Below are 22,538 nucleotides of genomic sequence, written 5' to 3' on the forward strand. Positions count from 1 at the left end.
ATACAATTTTTCCTTGTGTGTTTTCATTTGAACGGACAGCCAATAAAGGCGAAACTACAAAAATGTCATGTCCCTAATATGAGGTTTTCTAGTACAGAGATGTGTCTTCAAAAATATAAGTCATCTTGATGAAAATGGCATTCATGTTCTTAATAGCAATCGTTTACTTAAGAAGTATCCTTGAAGCTGAGTCTTGGTATAGCTTTTCCCTGACACACAACAAATCACACACATCAATCAGAATGATATTAGAAGCATTTCGGTCTTTTATTCAATTTCTCTATATAAGACTACCAAGGAGGGAGGGGTATGTGTCTGTTGCTGGAAGTGTTTAAATCTTCTCTTCTTTTGCAGCCCAGCTCACCATCTTCCCACAGGCGACAGCTGCTTCAGGTGCTCTTACTGCCACCCTCACCTCAAACCTCACTACGCTTTGCTACATTTTATAATCACTCTCTAAGCCTCCCTTTAGCCTGTCTATTTTCCTTGGATTCTATCTGTAGACTCCTGCCTGGTTCCTTCACATCAACCTATAGTTCCAGATCCAAAATGCCATTCAGAATTTGAATCTCTAAGCTTGAAATGAGGAAGGGATATGAGAATGCTTTATATTGTATATGTATGTTTTCTATAATACAAATAGTTTGCTTTTGACCATGTGTCACACAAACATGTATTCCTTCCCTGACGCACTTCCTTTCCCCCAAAATAGATCACCCGTTCCTCAGCTCCCAGACTGGTACACACACATGACAGCCACCCCTTACATTGGGTAATGATGCTGCCCAATGTAAGGTAATTGTAATACATTTTACCCCAGTAATTCTCCACTGGTGATGCTATTAACCTCAAAGAGCATTTGGCAATCTTTGTGTCTGGTTTGTTCATTGGTAGGTTTTTATCCACAAAAGTTAAAAATTAAAAAAAAATTTAAAAAGATATAAGCAAAATAAAATACTGTCACTCTGGGTTTCCTTTCCAGTAGTCTAAACATGGTCATCATCTTTGAACAGAAAATTCTGCCCACCTCACTGAAGGTGATATAACACATAAAACCAACCCAATGAAACACCACATAGAGAATTTCCAAACAGGGCTGGGGGTGAGGGAATCTAAATCTCTCAATGTATTAGTTCCTCAGGGCTGCTGTAGCACGGTATCAAACACCAGGTGGCTTAAAACAGTAACTATATTTTCTCATAGTTCTGGAGACCAGGTGTCTGAATTCAAAGTGTCAACAGGGCCATGCTCTCTCTGAAGCCTCTAAAAGAGAATCCTTCCTCACCTCCCCTAATTCCCAGTGGTGGCCATCAACCTTGGCTTGTAGATGCAGCTCTCTAGTCACATGGCCATCTCTTCCCTCTGTGTCTTACTTTGCCTTCCCTGCGTGTGTCTGCCTCTGTGTCTAAATTTTCCCTCTTTGTTAGGACGCCAGTCATAGTGGATTAGGGCCCAACCTAATGACCTCATTTTAATGTGATGGCCTCTGGAAAGACCCTATTTCCAAATAAGGTTGCATTGTGAGATACTGAGGGTCAGAAATTCAATACATCATTTTTGGATACTTTTTATCTAAAAAAAAAAGTTTCTATTTTTAAATAGAAAATCTTATACCTTTTTCAATTACATTTTAAATTATTTTATTTATTATTGGAAGGTCAATAATTTTTAACTGATCTCAGAAGACAAAACTTACACAATATTCTTTTGTCCTATCTGACTTCATTGTGTACAGGGATTGAGGGAATCCCTGCAAAAAGCAAAAATTACCAAAATAAATAAATAAATAAAGTCACATTCCAGCTGTGAGATTTAATCTTATGTTTCAACTTGACTAGGCTAAGGCTGTCTGACTGCTGGTAAAACATGATTTCCGGGTGTGTCTGTGAGAGTGTTTCTGGAAGAGATTTACACACCGTCACGAATGTGGGTGGGACTGTCCAGTCCATTGAGGGCCCAGATAGAACAAAAAGGGAGAAGAAAGGTGAATTTTCTCTCTCTTCTTGAGCTGAGACATCATCTTCTCCTGCCCTGGGATATTGTGTCCTCTGGTTCTCAGGCTTTTAAACTCGAACTAAATTATATTACCAGCTTTCCAAGGTCTCCAGCTTCCAGACAGCATATTATGAGATTTGGCCTCCATAATTGCATGAGCTAATTCCTATAATAAAGTCATCCTCTCAGCTCCCTCTTTCTATCTCTCGCTCTGTCTCTCTCTCACTCTCAATTTTATTTTAATTATATAAATATAATTAACATAAATATATATTATCATACATAATTAATTATATAACTTTATACATATATATAGAATTGAGAGTTTTCCAGATCTTTGAAATAAACAAATCCACAGGTTCAAAAAGCCCAGTGAATTACAGACAGAATAGTAAAAATCAGGACGTATTTTTAATACAATCAAAGACAAAGAATAACTTACATATATTTTCTGGTTTTATCCATCTGTTTAATATTTTTTGCTCTTTAGCTCATTGATTTTCTTCTTAAAGATAATGTGTTTAGTTTGCTAATTGAATGTCTTCATTTCAGCATTCTGAAGAATTACTGAATCAAAAATTTTATGCTGTCAATCTGGATATTTTCCTTTCATAGAAAATGAATGGCTTATCTTACTCTACCTTCATTTTCTAAACCTACATCTAAAATGACATTGTCGATTTTGTCTAGAATTGTAAACTATACAATTGTGATAACAACATGAATGATTTTGTTAAGATTGTTGCCTTTCGCCATTCTATTTTGTCATTTTAATTGATGAGAAAATCTTTGATATTTATGATTTCCACAGCCATGACTGATCTGTTTTCTTGTATTATATTAGTAATTTTGACACCTTTCAAATGGCTCAGACTTCAAGTACTATTTTCAGGAACTACCCCTAGAAGCTAAGTTTTATGAATCCTAAATATCTGTGATGGGCATGGACATTTGGGGTCAAATATTTTCCACTCCGCAACTGTGGATATCACATTATCTTTCTGGTCTGTTACATAACTATGAAGAAATCTATAGCCACTTTAAATTTGTACCACTCTGTTGGTTCTATTTTTTTAAATATGAATGCCAGTAAAATGATCACCCAATTACAACCAGGTGCAAATAATTTCTTTATTTTGTCTTCAACCTTGATAAGCCCCCTGCTTCTAAAAATTCAGAAGGTAATGTTTTTCTCACCATAAAATCCTTTGGTTCCTCCATATACTTGATTGATTACATCTTTTCCTTCAGTTGTTTCATTTTCTCCTTGTATATCATAGAAGGATAAATTATACATCCAAGATCTTTTCTCCTATCTTACAACTTTCATCTACTTATTCTTTTCTCTCCTTTTTGTGATTGGTTCACAAATATGTTCTTTAGATAACTAATTCAATTTTTGATATGTCAGACCTGTTCTTTAAAGCTTTCCACTTTTTTTTTTTTTTTTGGCTTGGTTTTTTACCATTGCCAACATTTTTCATGCCAGCTATTCTCAATTTTGCTTTTTGCTTTTACAGTCTTTATAATGACCTACACTTTTATCACAGATAATTTTCCTTACTGAGAACATGAAGAAACTACATTAAAGTCAATTTCAGAAATATGCATTTCTCCTCTGTTCTTGGCATATGCTCTTATTTCTTTCTGGGGCCAATTAGATTTTTCTCTGTTTACTCAACAATACAAAAAGACACGTATTTTGATGGTTGACTACTCTCTTGTCCTTCTCCCACAGCATCTTTCCAGACAACAGCAGCATGCTATAGAGAGAACAGTGGAGCGAAGATGATGCATAAGTTTTTTTTATTTTTTACAATGATCTCTTTGCTGGGACCACGCAGCAAGAAAAAAAAAATGACCAGCAAAAGCCGTGCCCAAGAGAATCTTAAGAAATCTCCAAGTTCAATACATTTCTGTTTATCTGTCTTGCAGACCATTTCCTCATTAGTTCAGGCATTTTTCTCTACATGAATCCTCCAGAAATGTGCCTCAATTCTTCCTTCTCTTGTGGTTGCAAAATCACAAATTCATTCCTTTCAATCACTGCATCATTTTCACATTTAAAAGTATCTTGTTGAGTGAGTCTTTTCCACCATATCTAATGACTCAGGTATTCTATTTTTACAAACAAAATATAGTATGCACTTATGTCCCCAAATATGCAAGACCAAATGGTGTGCCTCTCACATCTATATGGCTTGACATAACAATTTTTTTACCTGATATTACAATAAGGTTTCTAATGTGACCAGGATGGCTCAGCAACGGTTTTGTCCTTGGGATAGTTAGGATGCCTGGATTACTGTAGGCACTGGAAAAGTTGAAAAAACTTTGAGTAGAGCAAATCTCTTTGAGATAATTGAAATGAATTTATTAGTTTGAAAGATAGGCAAAATGTTTGAAAGACAAAAATAAATTAGGTTTTAATTTCAGAAATAAATTAGGAGACCTGAAAACAAGAAAGATTAATTTCTTCAATTAAAATAGAACATGTACTATGTGCCTACATCATAATAAGTGTAACATTTGGATGTGGATATAGCTGTGGTTATGGTTTTCTTGCCTACTGAGAAGGTATGCTGACCTTAAGACAAACGGGATTTTGAGAAAAGGTTTTCTCCAATAATTTATATATACAAATGTTATTCAAGACAAACATTTTACTATTTTCCTTAACCTACATTGAATATGGCTGGCTATAGATTAAAAAACAAAGTGACCCTAGAAATCAACTCACAAGCATTTGATAACTTTTCTCATCAAGGAAAATGTAAGCATCTATGGTAAGGCACCTAAAAACCCCCAGTTTCTAGCTCTGAACCTCTTTATGCTCTTTCCATAAGGTCTTTTGGTTTCACTCTAATAACTGAAACCACAGGAGGGTTTTGAGGAGAGGCGTGGTGTGAACAGGTCTGCTCTGAAGTCAGGCAATGGAATTTGCTGCTGAAAAGTTCAGAGGCTGTTGCAATAATAGAACTGAGAGATGATCATGGCTTGACTAGGATGGTAGCAGTGAATGTAGAATTAAATAGACAGATTCTGTATGTACATTGAAGGTGGTTTACTGATAGCATTATATGGAAGAGGTGAGAGAAAGAGATTTGTTGGTGATGAGTCCAGTAACTTTTCTTGAGCAACAGAAAGAACATAGTTATCATTTACTGAGATGAGGAAGGCCATGTGAAGGACAGGTTGGGAAGAAAAATCAGGATTTTAGTTTTGAGTTGTTTAGGTTCAAGATGTCCATTTAATATCAAGGGGAAATGTTGAGAGGTCAGTTGGATACAATGTTTGGAATTTAGAGGAAAGCTCTGGACCAGAGATATACATTTAGGTATCATTAAAATATAGATGGAATTCGAAGTTCGAAGACTGGATGAGATGAGCCAGGATATGAGTCTAGCGAGGGAAAAGAAGTCTGAAAATTGAGCCCTTAGACTCTACAACTTTAAGATGTTAGATAATGAGAAAGAAATCCAAGGGAGACTGATCATCTGAAAGTCCAATGAGGAGAGGTTTGCAAGAAGTGATTAATGGTCATATGCTGACGATGGCTTAAATTTAAAAACAAACAAACAAAAACAAAACAAAAAACCAGACCAAGAACTGATCATTGGCTTTGGCACAATGAGATTATTGATAACATCTGTAACAACTCTTTGGGTGAAGCTATGGAAGTGAAAGCATACTTGGAAGGGAACTGGAGACATGTAATATCGACAAGTCTTTTGACAAACATCACTAACGAGATGGAACATAAAGACAAAGTTATAGCTGTAGATGGACCTAGGAGTTAATTATAGTTACTAAGGTGTACAAACGAAAGGTTGTCCTTAGAGGGGCACTGACAGTCAGTCCTTGGAATGTGCGGTGTATTTGCCTACATGCAGAGATATTGGTGTACATCGTGGTGAGAATGAGTGGAGAATTTATTCTGAAATTTTCTATTTTCTGTAGCAGCTGAGAATGAAGATTGGGAAGGATGTATGAGAGATTTGAATAAAATTAGAATAAGTATGAAATAGTGTGTAGTGCATCAGTCATCTGTTGTCACCTAAAAAACCACCTTAAAATCCAATGGCTTTAAAAAGATGATGAATTCCACTTTAGTTAACAAGCTCATTGTCTCTGTTTCATATGCTATCAGCTGGGGATGCTAGATTAGAGACTAGAGGACCCAATGTCAAGGTGGCTTGCTCACATGGTGCATAAGTGGGTATCGGAGCTGTCAGTGAGTCAGGTGCCCAGCCAAGATGTGTGCCCCAGGCCTTAGCTCTTATGTACATGAGCCTCTCCATAGCTGCTTGGGTTTCTCTGAGACATAACAGCTAGATGCTAAGAGCAAGCATCTCAAGAAGAGCAGGCAGAACCTGCATCACCTCTAATGGCTTAGTCTGAGATGTCGCATGACATCAATTTGTCCACCATCTATTGATTAAGGCAGTCATAAAGTTTCACCTAGGTTAAAAGGAAGGTTCAATTCCATCCCCAATTCTATTGGAAGGGTATAAAGTACACATTTCAAGAAGAAAATATGATGGGATATATTGTTGCTGCCATCATTGAATAAAATGATCTGTCATCAAAAAGTCATCTAGAAGAGTAGGAGAATAAATAGACCTGGGAAATGAGATATGATTGCTAGATGGTTCTAATAATCCAACTAAGATTGTCACAAATTGAAAGAATCTAAATGTAAGTATGTGTTTTGCTATCCACATTCAGGTATGAGAATACTCATTTGAAGCAGATAAAGATGCAAAATTTAAGTAGCCTTTAGATTTTCATAAGCAAAGTGATGAAAGATGCTCATGCGAAAGCATAGAACATCCAAGCTCAATAAAGAGGGAAGGAAGATCATAAAGAAGATGAGGGGCTGGAACAAGGAATAGTGAACAATGGATCATAGATCTCACAGAGACAAAACGTTGTTGTGTTTGAGATATTAGAATTAGCTGGCAGTGTTGATTTGAGAGTAAGATGCTTAAAATTGAAATTAAAAAGGGACAAATAGTATTGATAATGACAGTATGTATGTAAGCTATGACTATGATAGTGAGTAATTTAAATTGAGAGGAAGTCAAGAGAATAAGAGGCTGGGATTTTACTGGGATAATATACATGAGTATAGAAAACACCAAAAATAATACAGGATACAATAACCATGAGTCAAGTGTTAGAATCTTTATGTAAGAAGGAGTAAACCAGAAGTCTGTAGGTGACTCTTATTAACCCCAGCTTGCACAAGGAGTGATTGAAGCACAGAGACATTAGTAACTTGCCCTAAAAGAAGTAGAGCCTAGATTGGATTCCAGAAAGTAGCTCAGCTCCAGAACCTGCACTCTTAGCTTTCAGCTCCCCAAGAACAAGAGGATAAAGTGTGATATAAACCCAATCACCACTTTCTTTCAAGAGTAGCTTTTATCAAATTAAAAAAGGAGAATATTATTGGTAATGACAACCTATAAGCTACGACTATGGTTGTGAGTAGTTTCACAGGGAACTCTATAATATGGTATTTACACCTGAGTCTATACAAACTGACTTTTAAAAATCCATTAGCTTGATGCTGTGGCACCATATTTACATTCTAAAATATTAAATGACTTAGAGATTATTTTAGTCATTTAACAGACTATTCTTCAGTGTCAGTAGAATATATTTACTCATAACCATATTAGCCAATTGTATTGTAGAGAGTACCATATAAATGATTGCACACGTCCACCTGTGTTGTTGTGAAGGAATGTCTGAGACTGGGTAAATTATAAAGCAAAACATCTATTTGGCTCACAACTCTGCTGTTTGGAAGATTAGGCCTCTGGTGAAGGCCCCAGGCTGCTTCCGTTTATGGTGCAAGGAGAAGAGGGGCTGGCATGCACAGAGATCACATGATGAGAGAGGAGCTAAAGAGATGGGGAAGCTGCCACACTCAACTCAATAACCAGCTCTGGAGGGAATTAACATAGTGAGAACTTGCTCACTTGTGCTTCCCAGAGGGGGGATTAATTTATTCATGAGGGAACCTTCCTCATGACCCAGACACCTCCCATTAGAACCCACCTCCAACACTGGGGATCCAATTTCAACAGGAGATTTGAAGAAGTCAAACCAACCATGTCCACAGTATAGCCACACCCATTTGTATATAGAAATGGCTGTGTTTACATTTATAGGTGTGTTTATGTGTGCCAAAACTTATGTATCTCTACAAACACAGTGAAAAGGTTGGGCTTGCTCAAGTAATGATAGGGTCAACAAAAAGGCACGTGGCCCTAGCTGGGGGCCTGGACATGCTCCTCTAGCAGTAAGACCCAGGTTGCCGACTGCCCGTTATGTTGTTCTGTGTTTTCTTATAACAAGCCAGACTCTGCTCACATTTATTTGATTCAAAGTACAGTGTAGATCTGGAAAAACAGAAATACGAAGGTAGTAATGTAAAGACTGCAAGTATAATTTTTAAAAATCTTTCTGGGTATAAAGTTCTATGAGTATTTAATTGATTTAATCCAAATAGCAAAGACCTCTTTCCTTATAATAGTTAACCTTTCAAAACCCTGCACATTTCTAAGAATAAGAAGTGTTTGGTGAGTGCTATAAGAAGTAGCTCAAAAATAGATAGAAACACAGAAACAAGCTCACCTGGCAGAATATTACATTTTTCCCCAAAAAACTTTATAGAAATACCACGTCTTCTTTGCCTTGTGTTTTTCTGTTGAAACCAAAGATTGCAAGATGTCATGTTTGCACCCAATTTTAGAGCACTGTAATGTCAAGTAGACTCCATTTTACATGAGATTCCAAAACCGTGTGCTGTTTTTTATATTCATCTTTCTTCTTTGTAACACAATTAAAAGCATCCTGCTTTCTTCACAGTAATCAGAACATGAAATATTACCTTGTGCTCCAAATGCAACCCCTGGGGGTGTTTAACATGTCTCTACAAGACTCTTGGGAATTCTGCACAAATGTTGGAAAAATGCATGCTGGCAATGTCATTAAAAAGGAAGAAAACAGATGGTTCTTTGGCTTGAATTTATGCCGGCAGTTTTATGTGTTCAGGACAAGTTTGATTAAACAATAATTTCAGTAGGATTTTAGCTAACAAATAACTGTCCAACCATTGTCTGTTTCAGAAAAAGTAGTTCTGGCTTTTTTCCCCCTTTTCCCCTAGCCTGGTGAAAATATTTGACATTTTCAATCCTAAAATAGCAAAACTTGAGGAGTTTGCTTTTCTCTGTCATAATGTCATAAATTCTAATCATCTGTGACATAGGAAAGCAGCATAGCACTGTGGTTAGAAGTGTGTGCTTTGGGATACGCAGGGTGAGTTCAAATCCTTGGACAATTAACCCTTCTGTTGCCTCAGTTGCCTTATTGTTTACCATGAGGCATAATAACAGTATCTACTCCAAAAACCTTTTGTGAGAAGACAATGTTTGAAAAATAGTGCCCAATACCTAGGAAGCAATCAACCAAACATCAATGTCTTTACAAATATGTATGTGTTTGGAGATACAGGCACAGAGCAATGGTATATTTTCCCTAGGCTTTCTGGTTCTCTAATAATGTAGTTTAGAGTAAAGAGATGTAAAGAGATGACGAGTTTAACCTCATCTACTGGAATATTCCTCTGAATGGTTCTCCATTCTGAGACCCAGTGTCTTGTCTATAACTAAAAGCAAATGTGTCCAGTGAAAACATGAGATGATAGTGCACTGAACTTTCTCACCAGAAATGAGCTTTTAAAGATCTCTTGGTGCTTTCTTGGCCCATCTTTTGTCTCACCAGAGTATCACAATTTGAGAAGGAGAAATATAATAGAGTTAATAATTTGCTAATTATGAGTAGGGAGATGTTTTTGTGCAGCTGTATGTTTGTCTATACCCATGTAGTGTTATCAATGACCAGCTTTGTGAATGCATGTTAGAGTTTACAGTTTCAGTGGCTTGCCTTATGAAAACATGCTAATAAAATATGAGTAGCAACAAAAAGGGCTATTTTCCCCTCCTTTCCATACAACAAATAGTGGATCCTCCTGAAAATCTGTAGATCCTTCATACGAAGCGACTGTACCTGCCATATTTCTAATGGAGTCTGATTAGGAGGATGAAGGATATTATCTGCATTGTAGTCAAAAAAGTGGATCTTCCTGAGTCTTTCCCAATTTAGGTTTAGGGAAAAACCTATGTTTTTAGCTGAGTAAAATAACAAGCCAGTTTTTTCTACTTTATTTTTCCATTTTCTAAAAGCTGAGGAGGATTAGGAACTGGTGCTAGGTGAAAAGCATATTGATTTTATATAGTGTCTTAAGGCAACTAAACATGAACCCTCTTTCCAGAGCTTGAGTTCATCTTTTGTACTTACTTCTTTTGAAATGGAAATATACAACCATAAATTCTGGCCTTACTATACCAAAATAAGTGTTACACTGAAAGATTTTATATTTGCAGTGCTTCCCAGTTTTCAAAATGTTTTCAGCCATAATGCAATAGAAAAGCACATTTCTTGGAATAGTTTATATCTGGGTATTAGACTAGGCCATTACATTAAGCTATTACATTTAAAATGATGTAAAACTAATATCTTCAGAGACATAGCTAGAAATGTAGTAATGAAAACCAATATAATGGTGCAACCGGCCAGGCGCTGTGGCTGATGCCTGGAATCCCAGCACTTTGGGTGGCCAAGGTGGGTGGATCATCTGAGGTCAGGAGTTCAAGACCAGCCTGATCAACATGGTGAAACCCTGTCTCTACTAAAAATACAAAAATTAGCCCTGCATGATGGAGGGCGCCTATAATCCCAGCTACTAGGGAGGATGAGGCAGGAGAATTGCTTGAACCCGGAAGGTGGAGGTTGCATTGAGCTGAGATCATGCCATTGCTCTCCAGCCTGGACAACAGAGCAAGACTCCATCTCAAAATAAAATAAAATAAAATAAAATAAAATAAAATAAATAAAATAAAAATGGTGCAACTATTGATGCCAGAACTTGGATTTAACAGTAAGATATTTAGTATTAGCCTAAGGACAGACACCAGTGGAAAAGAGTTGAAAGTCTAGAAATATAGCTAAAAATATATTGCTTTTTTTTTTTTTTTTTTGACAAAAGCTCTAAATTCAATGCAGGAAAGGATAGTCTTTTCAACAAATGGTGCTATAAGAAAAGTTGAGAAGAAAAGAAAATGGAAGGAAGGGAGAAAGAAAGGGAGGCAGGGAGGAAAGAGGGAAGGAAACAAAGAAGGAATGAAGTCAATCAAGGCTCAAACTAGACAATAAAAAATAAAAGATAATCCATACAAACAGATCTAAAAACAGTCCTGAGAGAACATCTTTGTGGCCCCGTGATAGGCAAAGATTTCTCAGGATTCAAGTAGCACTATAAAGCGAAGGAAAAAAATAAATAAATAAATTGGACTTCATCAAAATGGAAAATTCTTCAGGAAAGACAATTAATGAAATAAAAAGGCAAGCCAAAACAAAGAGAAAATATTTATAATACGTGTGTCTAACAAAGCAAGGTGTCCAGATCATATTTTTTAAGGTCTTACAACTCAATAATAAAAAGACAAACAACCAAATTGAAGACTGGGCGTGAAGGAACTTAACTGGAATGACAATCATATAGGTGTATATTTTGGTCAAAACTCACCAAACTATACAGTTAAAAGCTTTGTCTTTTATTGTATGTAAATTATATATGCATAAAATATAAAATATATAAATCTCACTAATATTCTTCAGTTTACTAACCTCTATTCCTACTGTGAAATTGAAGTTCTAGGAGCGAATTGGGTTAAATATTTTAACAAAAACACATTTCAAAAATAAATTTGTGTTTTTTATATTAAAATTTGACTATACTTGAATAGAGATTCTACTGGCTTTATATTTTTTCACCCTTCATCATTCTCAAGTCAAAATATTTTTAATAACACTCACTACACCATATTTCCTGGGAAAGATCTCCGATCACTAGGGCATATCATTATATACTTCCCAGTTCTTTTGTCATTTGAATTGATATTTGGAAGGCTGATCTCATGACACAGAATTTTTCTAAGCTTCTCTCTTTTTGTTTACTTTTACTTTAATATTCCATAATCTGCAATAACAAAATCTGAGTAAAGAATCTATCAAATTAAGGAAACATGTGCTGCATAAAATCTATATTGCAGTGAGAAAGAGTGAATTAATCCAATGAATGATTGGACTTACATTAAGAAATACATAATTTTTAATAAGTTACATACATATTAATAGAGCACCTTTTTTTTCTTGAAACATTTTTGTTTCAATTTTCAATTACTCATGTCAAAGCCTGAAAATATTCCCTAATAGAATTAAAATATATCTGTCGAAATGTTCATGGATTTTAATTAAAGACTGCTGTTGTACCTTTAGGTAAAGAAAATATAATGATGACTTAGACAAAATGACTAAACATTCTTAAATTAATTTAAAATATTTACTTTTTTGAATTCATATTTAAAACATTTTTTATCAGTCAAAATAAAAGTGTTACCATTTTTAAATTTTAAAAAATAAAACTGAAAGCATATTAAATAGAAGTTTGACAATAGAAATGCAGATTACATTCCTACCAATTCACTAGGAAACACTTAAAAAATTTACATACCGAGAGTGCAGTGATTGTAGGACTTCACACTGGAACTCAGTGCTGCCTATCACAATGGAAGCAACACAGGGCAGAATTCAGCCGTCGCCCACAGAGGGAGCATTTAGACCAGCCCCCGGCACATGAAAAGCATTTAGACGACCAGCCCTAGCCACAGGGAATTCATCCATTCCAGTAGTGGGAACCTGAGTTCTGGGAAGGCTCACCAACATTAGCTAAAATGCCCTGGGGTCCTAAATAAATTTAAAAGGCAGTCTAGGCTAGGCCACAAGGATTGTGATTCCCAGGCATGTCCTGGTGTTTTGCTGGACTTGGAGCCAGTGGACTTGAGGTGCACGAGACCCAATGAGACATCAGCTGGTGCAGCCAAGCAAGGGTTCACATCACCCCTCCTCCAACACCAGGCAACAGAGCTTGCAGCTCCTGCAGACTCCTTCCTTCTGCTCAGGGAGAGAGGAGGGTAAAGAAGATTTTCTTGCAACTTGGATACCAGCCTTGCCTCTGAAAATGGGGTATTTTCCCTCCAGGCCTTAGCTCCCAGACAATACTTCTGGACACACCCTGGACAGAAGGAAACCTATTACCTTGAATGGAAGGGCCCAGCTGTGGCAGGATTTATCACCTGCTGACTAGAGAGTGCTTGGACCTTGAATAAACATCAATAGCAGCCAGACAGTACACACCATCGACCTTGGGTGAGAGCTGGTGCTGTGCTGGCTTCAGGTGTAATCCAGCACCTTCCCAGCTATGGTGGCTAGAAGAGACTCCTTCTACTCGGGGAAAGGATAGGAAAGAGTAAAAGGGACTTTGTTTTGCAGCTTAGGTCCATGCTCGGGCACAGTAGTGGAGAGCAGCAACCAGGCTCCTCGGGTCTTTAATTCCAGGCTTTGGCTCCTTGAATGCATTTTTGGACCCACCCTGGGCCAGAGGGGAGTCCCTGCCCTGAAAGAAGAGATTCAGGCCTGGTAGCATTTACCACAAGCTGATTGAACAGCCCTTGGGCCTTGAGTGAACATTGGTCGTAGAAAGGCAGCATTCACTATGTGCCTGGGGTGGCAGTGGCCATGGGGAGAGACTCTTTCTGCTTTAAGAAAAGAGGAAATAGTGGAAAGGACTTTATTTTGTGAGTCAGTGCCAGCTCGGCTGCAGTAGAATAGAATACCAGATAGATTCCTAAGGCTCTAACTCCAGGTCCTGGCTCCCAGATGGCATTTCTGAACCTAACCTGGGTTGTAGTAGGAGCTCATCACTCTGAAGGGAAGGACATAAGACTGCTGGACTCACCACCTGCTGACTGAAGAGCACTTGTGCCTTGATTGATGTTCAGTGGTGGCCAGGCAGTGGGTTGCTGCAGGTTTTAGGCTTTGGGTGGGACTCAGTGCTGTGCTGGCTTCTGGTTTAACCCAGTACAGTCCCAGTGGTGGTGACCACAGAGATGCTTATGTCACTCATCCCCCAGGTTCAGGGAGCTCAGCACAGAGAGAGAGAAAGAGAGAAACTGTTTGTTTGGGGGTAAAGTAAGGGGAGATAACAAGAGTCTCTGCCTGGAAATCCTGGTAATTCTCTAAGGTCTTACCCAAAACTACTGAGGCAGTACCTTCACAAGTCTGCAAGAGTCACAGTGTTACTGGACTTGGAGCAGATAAGGCCACAGTGACCAAATAATTAGACGACGACACTCAATTTACTTTGAATACTTGGAAAGCCTTCCTAAATAGGATAGGTACAAACAAGCCCAGACTGCAAAGACTACAATAAATGCCTAACTCTTCAATGCCCAAACAGCAATGAGCATTTGCAAGCATCAAGACCATGGAAAACATGACCTCACCAAACAAAGTAAAGCACCCATGACCAATCCTGAAATGACAAAGGTATGTGACAGTTCAGACAGAGAATTCAAAATACCTGTTTTGAGGAAGCTCAGTGAAATCCAAGATAACACAGAGAAGGAATTCAGAATCCTATCAGATAAATTTAACAAATAGATTGAAATAATTCTTAAAAACCAAGCAGAAATTTTGGAACTGAAAACTTTAATTGACATGCTGAAGAATACATCACAGTCTCTCAACAGCAGAACTGATCAAGCAGAAGAAAGAATTAGTGAGCTTGAAGATAGGCTGCTTGAAAATACACAGCCAGAGGACACAAAAGAAAAAAGAATTTTAAAAAATGAAGCATACCTAAGGATCTAGAAAATAGCCTCAAAAGGGCAAATCTAAGAATTATTGGCCATAAAGAGGATGTAGAGAGAGACAGAGTGGTCGAAGGTTTATTCAAATGGATAATAATGGAGAACTTTCCAAATCTGGAGAACGATATCGATATTCAAGGACAAAGAAGTTATATTAGTAAAACACCAAGAAAATTTACCTCAAGTAAGGCTACTTCAGGACATTTATAATCAAACTCCAAAAGGTCAGGACTAAAGGGAATTCATCAATCTAAAAGAAAACGACATTAAGGAACAATAGGAAATCATGTGAAGGTATAAAACTCACTGGTAAATACTAAGTACACAGACAAGCACTGAATATTAAAACACTGTAATTGTGGTGTGCAAACTATGCATATCTTGAGTAGAAAGACAGATAAATCTATCAAAAATAATTACAAAAACTTTTCAAGATATAGACAACATAATAAGACTAAATAGAACCACAAAAATTTAAAAAGCAGGAGAGATGAAGTTAAAGTGTGGAATTTGTATTAGTTTTCTCTTTGCTTGTTTGATAGTTTGTGTTTCTTCTTGCAATCAGTGTTAAGTTGTCATCAGTTTAAAATATGGGTTATAATATGTTATTTGCAACCCTCATGGTAACTTAAAATCAAAAAACATACAACAGATACACAAAAAATGAAATGCAAAAAAATTAAAACATAGTACTGTTGCAGAACTTTTCCCTAGTTCAGCTAAAAACAAGGTTCTTTGTCCCATGCCCATGAAAATTCAGGCTTGCAGACAGTTTGAATGGTAAGTGAGACAGAGTTTTGTTGGGTGAAAAGGAAGAAAAGGGGGAAACAGGGACTCTTGCTAGGCCAGAGTCCCTGCTAGAGCACTTCCCACCTGCCATTCAAATCCCAGATACCACACAGGAAGAGGAGGGCCCAGGTTCCTCCCTGCTGCAAAGGGCAGGAACCTCTGTGGCTCCACCTCAGTGCACAGGCCAGTTGGGGTTTTTTCTGGGAAGCCCCTCCCACCTGGCTATCTCAGGACCAGAGACAAAAGGGTCCTTCACAAAAAGGAAGACAGGAAAGAAAGAATGAAGGAGGAAAAGACCACAAAACAACCAGTAAGCAAATAACAGAACAGTGGAAGTAAGCACTTACTTGACAAGAATAACATTGACTAAATGGACTAAACTATCCTATCAAAACACATAAAGTGCCCAAATGGATAACAAATCAAAACAAAAGCTAATGACCTGTTGCCTACAAGAAACACACATAGACCAATGGAACAGCAAAGAGAACCCAAACACATATCCATACATTTACAGTGAACTCATTTTTGACAAAGATGCCAAGAACATATGCTGGGGAAAGGAGAGTCTCTTCAATAAATAGTGTTGGGAAAGCTAAATATCCATATGTAGAAGAATGAAACTAGACCCCTGACTCTCATCACATACAAAAATCAAATCCAAGTGGAACATATAATTAAATCTAAGATCTCAAACTGTGAAGACACTGGAGAAACCCTCCAGGACACTGGACTGGGCAAAAAGATTTTGAGTAATACCCCACAAGCACAAGCAACCAAGGCAAAAATTGACAAATGGGATCATATCAAGTTAAAAAACTTCTGCACAACAAGGGAAACCATCAACAAAGTGAAGTGACCACACACAGAATGGGAGAAAATATTTGCAAATTATCCATCTGACAAAGGATTAATAATCAGAATATATGAGGAGCTCAAACAGCTCTACAGGAAAAAATCTAATAATCTACTTATAAAATGAACAAAAGATCTGAATAGACCTTTCTCAAAAGAAGGCAGTGGTAAATGGCAAACAGATATATGAAAAGGTGGTCAACATCATTGATCATCAGAGAAATACAAATCAAAGCTACGATGAGATATCATTTCACTCCAGTTAAAATGGCTTTTATCCAAATGCAGGCAAGGATGTGGAGAAAAGGGAACTCTCATATAGCATTAGGGAGAATGTAAATTAGTACAATCACTATGGAGAATAGTATGGAGGTTCATCAAAAATCTAAAAATAGAACTACCATATGATCTTATGTTATACACTGCATATACCACTGCTAGGTATATTCCCAAAAAGAAAATCAGTATATTGAAGAGACATCTGCACTCCCATGTTTACTGCAGCATTATTAAAGACAGCCAAGATTTGGAAGCAACCTAAGTGTCCATCAACAGATGAATGGATAAAGAAAATGTGGTACATATACACAATGGAGTACTATTCAGCCATAAAAAAGAATAAGATTCTGTCATTTGCAACATGGATGAAACTGGAGGGCATTACGTTAAGTGAAATAAGCCAGACACAAAGAGATAAAAATCACATATTCTCACTCATTTGTAGAGCTAAAAATTGAACTGACAGAGACAGAAAGCAGAATTATGGTTACCAGAGGCTGGGAAGTGTGGTGAGGTGGGGGGTGTGGGGACACTTAATGGACACAAAAATAAAGTTAGTTGGAATGAATAACATTCAATGTTTCATAGCACAACTGAATGAATACAGTCAATAATAGTTTATTGTACATTTTAAAATAACTAAAAATATTGGATTTTTTTAATACAAAGAAACAATGAATGTTTGAGGTGATGGAAATCCCATTTACTCTGATGTTATTGTTACTTATTGTATGTCTGTATGAAAATATCTCATGTAACCCGTAAATATATACACCTAGTATGTACCTATAAAAATAAAAAGTAAAAAATGTGTTTTTTTTAATTTAGATACTACAGAAGAGACCTCTATGGGAGAAAGGAGACAATCTTGATATATCACTTTTTTAAATATTCACACATGAAACAGGTATATATAACCCTAGTAAAAAGGAAAACACTATGAAGAAAATATGAATGTCACAAACATAAATGAAGGTTAAGTACATAGGGAGATATTTTTAACGGATAAGAAATGCTAATATAGTTTCAAAAGATTAATTCATAAGGTTTGTGATGATACAATTTATGTAAAAGGAAAAATAATATGTAAACTTATGGGAAAATTCTCAAATACTTAAAAAAGACAAATGTAAATTATAATTGAAGTAAACTTTCAACATATTGGCAAGGCATTTATAAAAATTTAAATGCCTAATGTTTGCGGATCTGTGGTGATCCTGGTTGTCTCAAACTTTACTAAATAATGTTATAAAATCATAAAAATAATTTTAGATGCTAGGACCACACGCATTGAGTCACCATAATGTTCATGCTATTTGATTAGTAATCTCATATCTTGTCATTAATTCAAAAGAAGCACTATTAAATAGGGAAAATAAATACATTCAGAAAGATGGTTTTTCAACATTTTTAACATAATTAAAACCAGAAACAAAATGATTGTTCAATAATATAAAACATAGAAAGAAATTATCTGTATTCAGTAGGACCTTATGATAACATTTGAAATGGTAGTTAAGACGCTCAGATGGTTAAGAAGATATGATATATTAAAACAATAGGCAAAATGTCCACCTAAGACCAAATCAGTGAAAGGAGCATATTTGTTCCTATAATTAAAAACATATTAATGAAGCTTATGTAAGGGTGGTTAGGTTATAGGTGCCCTTTTTAAAACTTTGTCTCATCAAAATCATATTAAAATCATAATAAAAATTATATATAAGAGCAAAACAAAACTAGCTGTTATTAATACATTTATTAGTTTAAAAAGATAATTTATTCAAGAGTCATATTATAGGTACCACAAATCATCTGTATTTAATAAAACTTTAATTAAAACTATCCAGCAATGGAACTAGATAAAATGAGAAAAACAATCTAATTACCAAGACCTTTAAAGGGAGAAAGATTTTTTTTTTAAATCTTCCTTTTCTTCCTGTAAACTCGTGAATTTTATTCCTAATGTTTCCATGTGAACTTATTTTTGTAAATGTGCTAAACAAATGCAGAGTTAAAATAAACCATCTAAGTCTTTGCTTAAAAAAAAAATAGAATTAAACACCACTGATCTCTCTAGTAGTACATGCATCTACTAACATCTACTCAAAGAACCCAATACACTAGAGAGAGAAAGAGAGAGAAGGGAGGGATGGAGAGAGGGACAGAGGGAGACAATATTGATCTATCAGTTTATTACATTTTTAAGCATTTACTGGGACTATATCCTTTATTCTATGTTCATTCATAATATTTATATGATTAAACAGCATAAATATAAAGCCAAAGAATTACTACTAAATATCTAGAGTAATGGTGATAAAATCTTTGATATTTAATAATCAGTTGTGCCTATATAATATTAATATTTGTAGTTTTGCCAAGCCATTAAGGTTATTTCCAGAGGCAGTAATGGATGCACAGCATGCTTAGGAAGAAACCAATGCAGATATTGTTGGATGCATACCCTGATGCTTGACCCTGTTACATGTATTTCATTTTATTCTCACACCAGTCCTTCGATATAGATAATATTACATGCATTTTACAAATGATGCAATTGGTCTCTATAGAGTTAATTATTTGTCTGAGGTTATAATGAAAGAAAAACAACTAAGTCTTCATATCTCAAGACTAGCAAATTTTTTGCTATATTGAGCTACATTGGAAGTTTCATTGTTGAGATAGTATACAACTTTCAAAATTCAAAATTATTATTTATTGTTTTACTGAAAAGATAAATGTGAAAGAATATGATATATTGAAAATAATGCATTTCCTTTCCACCTAATTAGCTCATAAACTCAATGAAAGAGTGGGTAGATAAAGATATCTAGAAGAGTTATTCCTTCTTTCTCATGTGAATGAATGTGAAAATAAGAGAATATCACAAATATTGTCTTTGGAAATAATTCTTACATGTATTCTATGGTGGTTGAAAATAAGGCTCTTCCTAGAGAGCAGGGTAATAGTACATGTCATATGTAAAGGAAAGAAAAAAAATAGATATATAAATTGTGTAGGAAATTCAGTGTTGTAGTAAACGGGAGATAAGACTGGTGTCAGAGGAGTGGAAGTCAATTATAAGAGAATGCAATCAGTTTCATAATTCACTTCATGTGCCCCAATAAACAAATAGCAAATATTTGTTATTTCCTTAGCTAATGAAAAGCAAATAATAATTTTTAAAAATAAATCACATTTGAATTTTTTATTCAAATGATGATAATAAGAAATGTGAAAATATGAATCATATTACATATAATGAAGTGCTATCATAATTCTAAATTACTTTCTTTAAATAACAATACTGAGATACACACAAATACCTCTGAGGACTAATCTCTGATTTTTTTTTCTTGTCCAGATTTCTATCTGAGTGACCTGGGGAGTCATGCCCTACAAACCATAAATTCTCATCAGATGGGTTTTATTTAATCCTATATATTGTGACTTACTTTCCAATCTGACTCTGCCATAACATTACGAGACAAGGAAGAAACTCAAAATACTGGGCTGGGCATAGTGGTTCATGCCTATAATCCTAGCACTTTGGGAGGCCAAGGCAGGTGGATTGCTGGAGCTCAGGAGTTTGAGCCCAGCCTGGGCAACACAGTGAAACCCTGTCTCTACTAAAAGAGAAAAAATTAGCCAGGTGTGGTGGTGCATGCCTGTAGTCCCAGCTACTTGGGAGGCTGAAGCAGGAGAATTTCTTGAACTCAGAAGAGGGAGGTTGCAGTGAGCCAAGATTGCACCACTGCACTCCAGCCTGGGCAACAGAAAGAGATACGGTCTCAAAAAACAAAAAACAAACAAACAACAACTACAACAAAAAAACAAAATCAAAATACTTTACCCCAAAACATGTTTCTCTGCTATATCTTGAAATGGCCCTGCAAAGCCATTCTTTGTGGAGGAAAATCTGCATCTGTAAAGAATCTCTATTAACATAGATCATTGCCAGGTCTGTCCCACCAACCCTGGCAGAGAGACAGATGAAAGGAGTGCACAGACACAGGTATTTTGCCTGAGAGCGTGGCTAGGGGACTGCACAGCATAGCACCATTGACAAGAGTGCAGCCCTGATAAGATGGAGCCATTTGTATTTATTTAGTACAGATTTAATGACAAAGGCCTGGAGCAAACACAACTTGTGGGTAATTAACACTGTGGACCCCCCAAGTTAGAGAGCTCCTGAGTGCGAATGATCAAAGGCTGGTTTCCAGGGACATAAGTAAACCAATTTATCTAGCTAAGTTCCTTTACATTCCCTTGTTACCTACCCTTTACCCTTAAGAGAATTTAGCTGATGGCAGAATTTAGCTGAAAGCTTTTGCAAAACCTCCCAGCCTTCCAAGGAGATTTGCGTCTTTCCCTAAAATTTTTTCTTATAACTTTTCCCACCACCCTGACTGATGTCCTACAGATCTTTTTGTTCCAGGTCCTCCCAATTCTGAAGAGATTAACTAAAAGTCTAGCACCTTTTAAAGATCTGAATAGGAAACATTTGTCATCTATTGTCTCTAAGGCAGCCACTATAAGACTTCAAAAGAACCTTGGCCTCCACAGTCTTTTCTCTTAACCTGAACATTTCCTTTCTATGGATCCCAGGTCTTTAGACAAACTCAACCAATTGTCAACCAGAAAACGTTTAAATTTACCTATAGACTGGAAGCCCCTCCCCCCAACCCCCTCACCTCCCCACCCACTTTGAGTTGTCCCGCCTTTCTGAACCAAACCAATGTATTTCTTAAATGTATTTGACTGATGTCTCATGCCTCCCTAAAATATATAAAACCAAGCTGTACCCCAAACACCTTGGACATATGTTTCTTGGGACCTCCTCAGGGCTGTGTCATGGGCCATGGTCACTCATATTTGGCTCAGAATAAATCTTCTCAAATATTTTACAGAGTTTTACTCTTTTTGTCCACACCTCAAAACCCTCCTTGTCTTTTAAAATTAAACCAAATTTGTGTAAATGCTCAGCTTATTCTGAACGAACTTGTTTGTGAGTTTTATTATACATGTATTTTATGGTGTGTGTGTGTGTGTGTGTGTGTGTTTAGCATATAAACTCCTAAAGGATAGGGAAACTTTTTACAGTGGCTTCTTAAAATAGTTATGTGTGTATACCTTTGATGAATGAAAATATGCAAATTTTAAAAACCCCAAATCAAGTTCCGTTGAGCTTTGGATTATAGAGGAGAGCTGAAGGAAGTTCATGTCCACTGTGAAAAATTAAAAAAAGAAATTCAATTTTAACCTAACAGAGACCTAAGGTGTTAGAAACAAATGCTCGGTGCTGCAAAGAAAAATCAGCACTCTGGCAAAAAGCTTTCTCAACAAGGCGATTTACTTCTGCAGAAGAGTGCCACTTGTGCCTGGTGTGGTTGCAAGAGCACATCAAGTGGGGTGGGGAAGAGGTTTTATTCCAAACACAGCAGCTCCTGTAGCTGTGTCCCTTTCTCCATTGGCTGTAGTTGGACTGCACAATCTAAGCTGACCCAATTGGCTACTGTTTAAAATTGAATAGAGTTAACTAGGTGGGATGGGAGAGGCTGTCCGTTACAGTTTTAGGGTGCAGTAAAGGCAGGAAGGATAGTTCTAGGGGGAAGGTCAGTTACAGAGTGGGTAACCAAGGGAGTAGATGTGAGTTTTAGAGTAGGACTGGCAGGAAGGTTGTTTACCCTAACTAGGGGCAAGGAGGCACAAAGAACGAGGAAGTTAGACTTTGAAAACTGAGATCAAAGAACAAGGAAGCTGAGCAAGCTGACT

Source organism: Homo sapiens, chromosome 13 (assembly GCF_000001405.40).
Source record: "Homo sapiens chromosome 13, GRCh38.p14 Primary Assembly".
Lineage (NCBI taxonomy): Eukaryota > Metazoa > Chordata > Mammalia > Primates > Hominidae > Homo > Homo sapiens.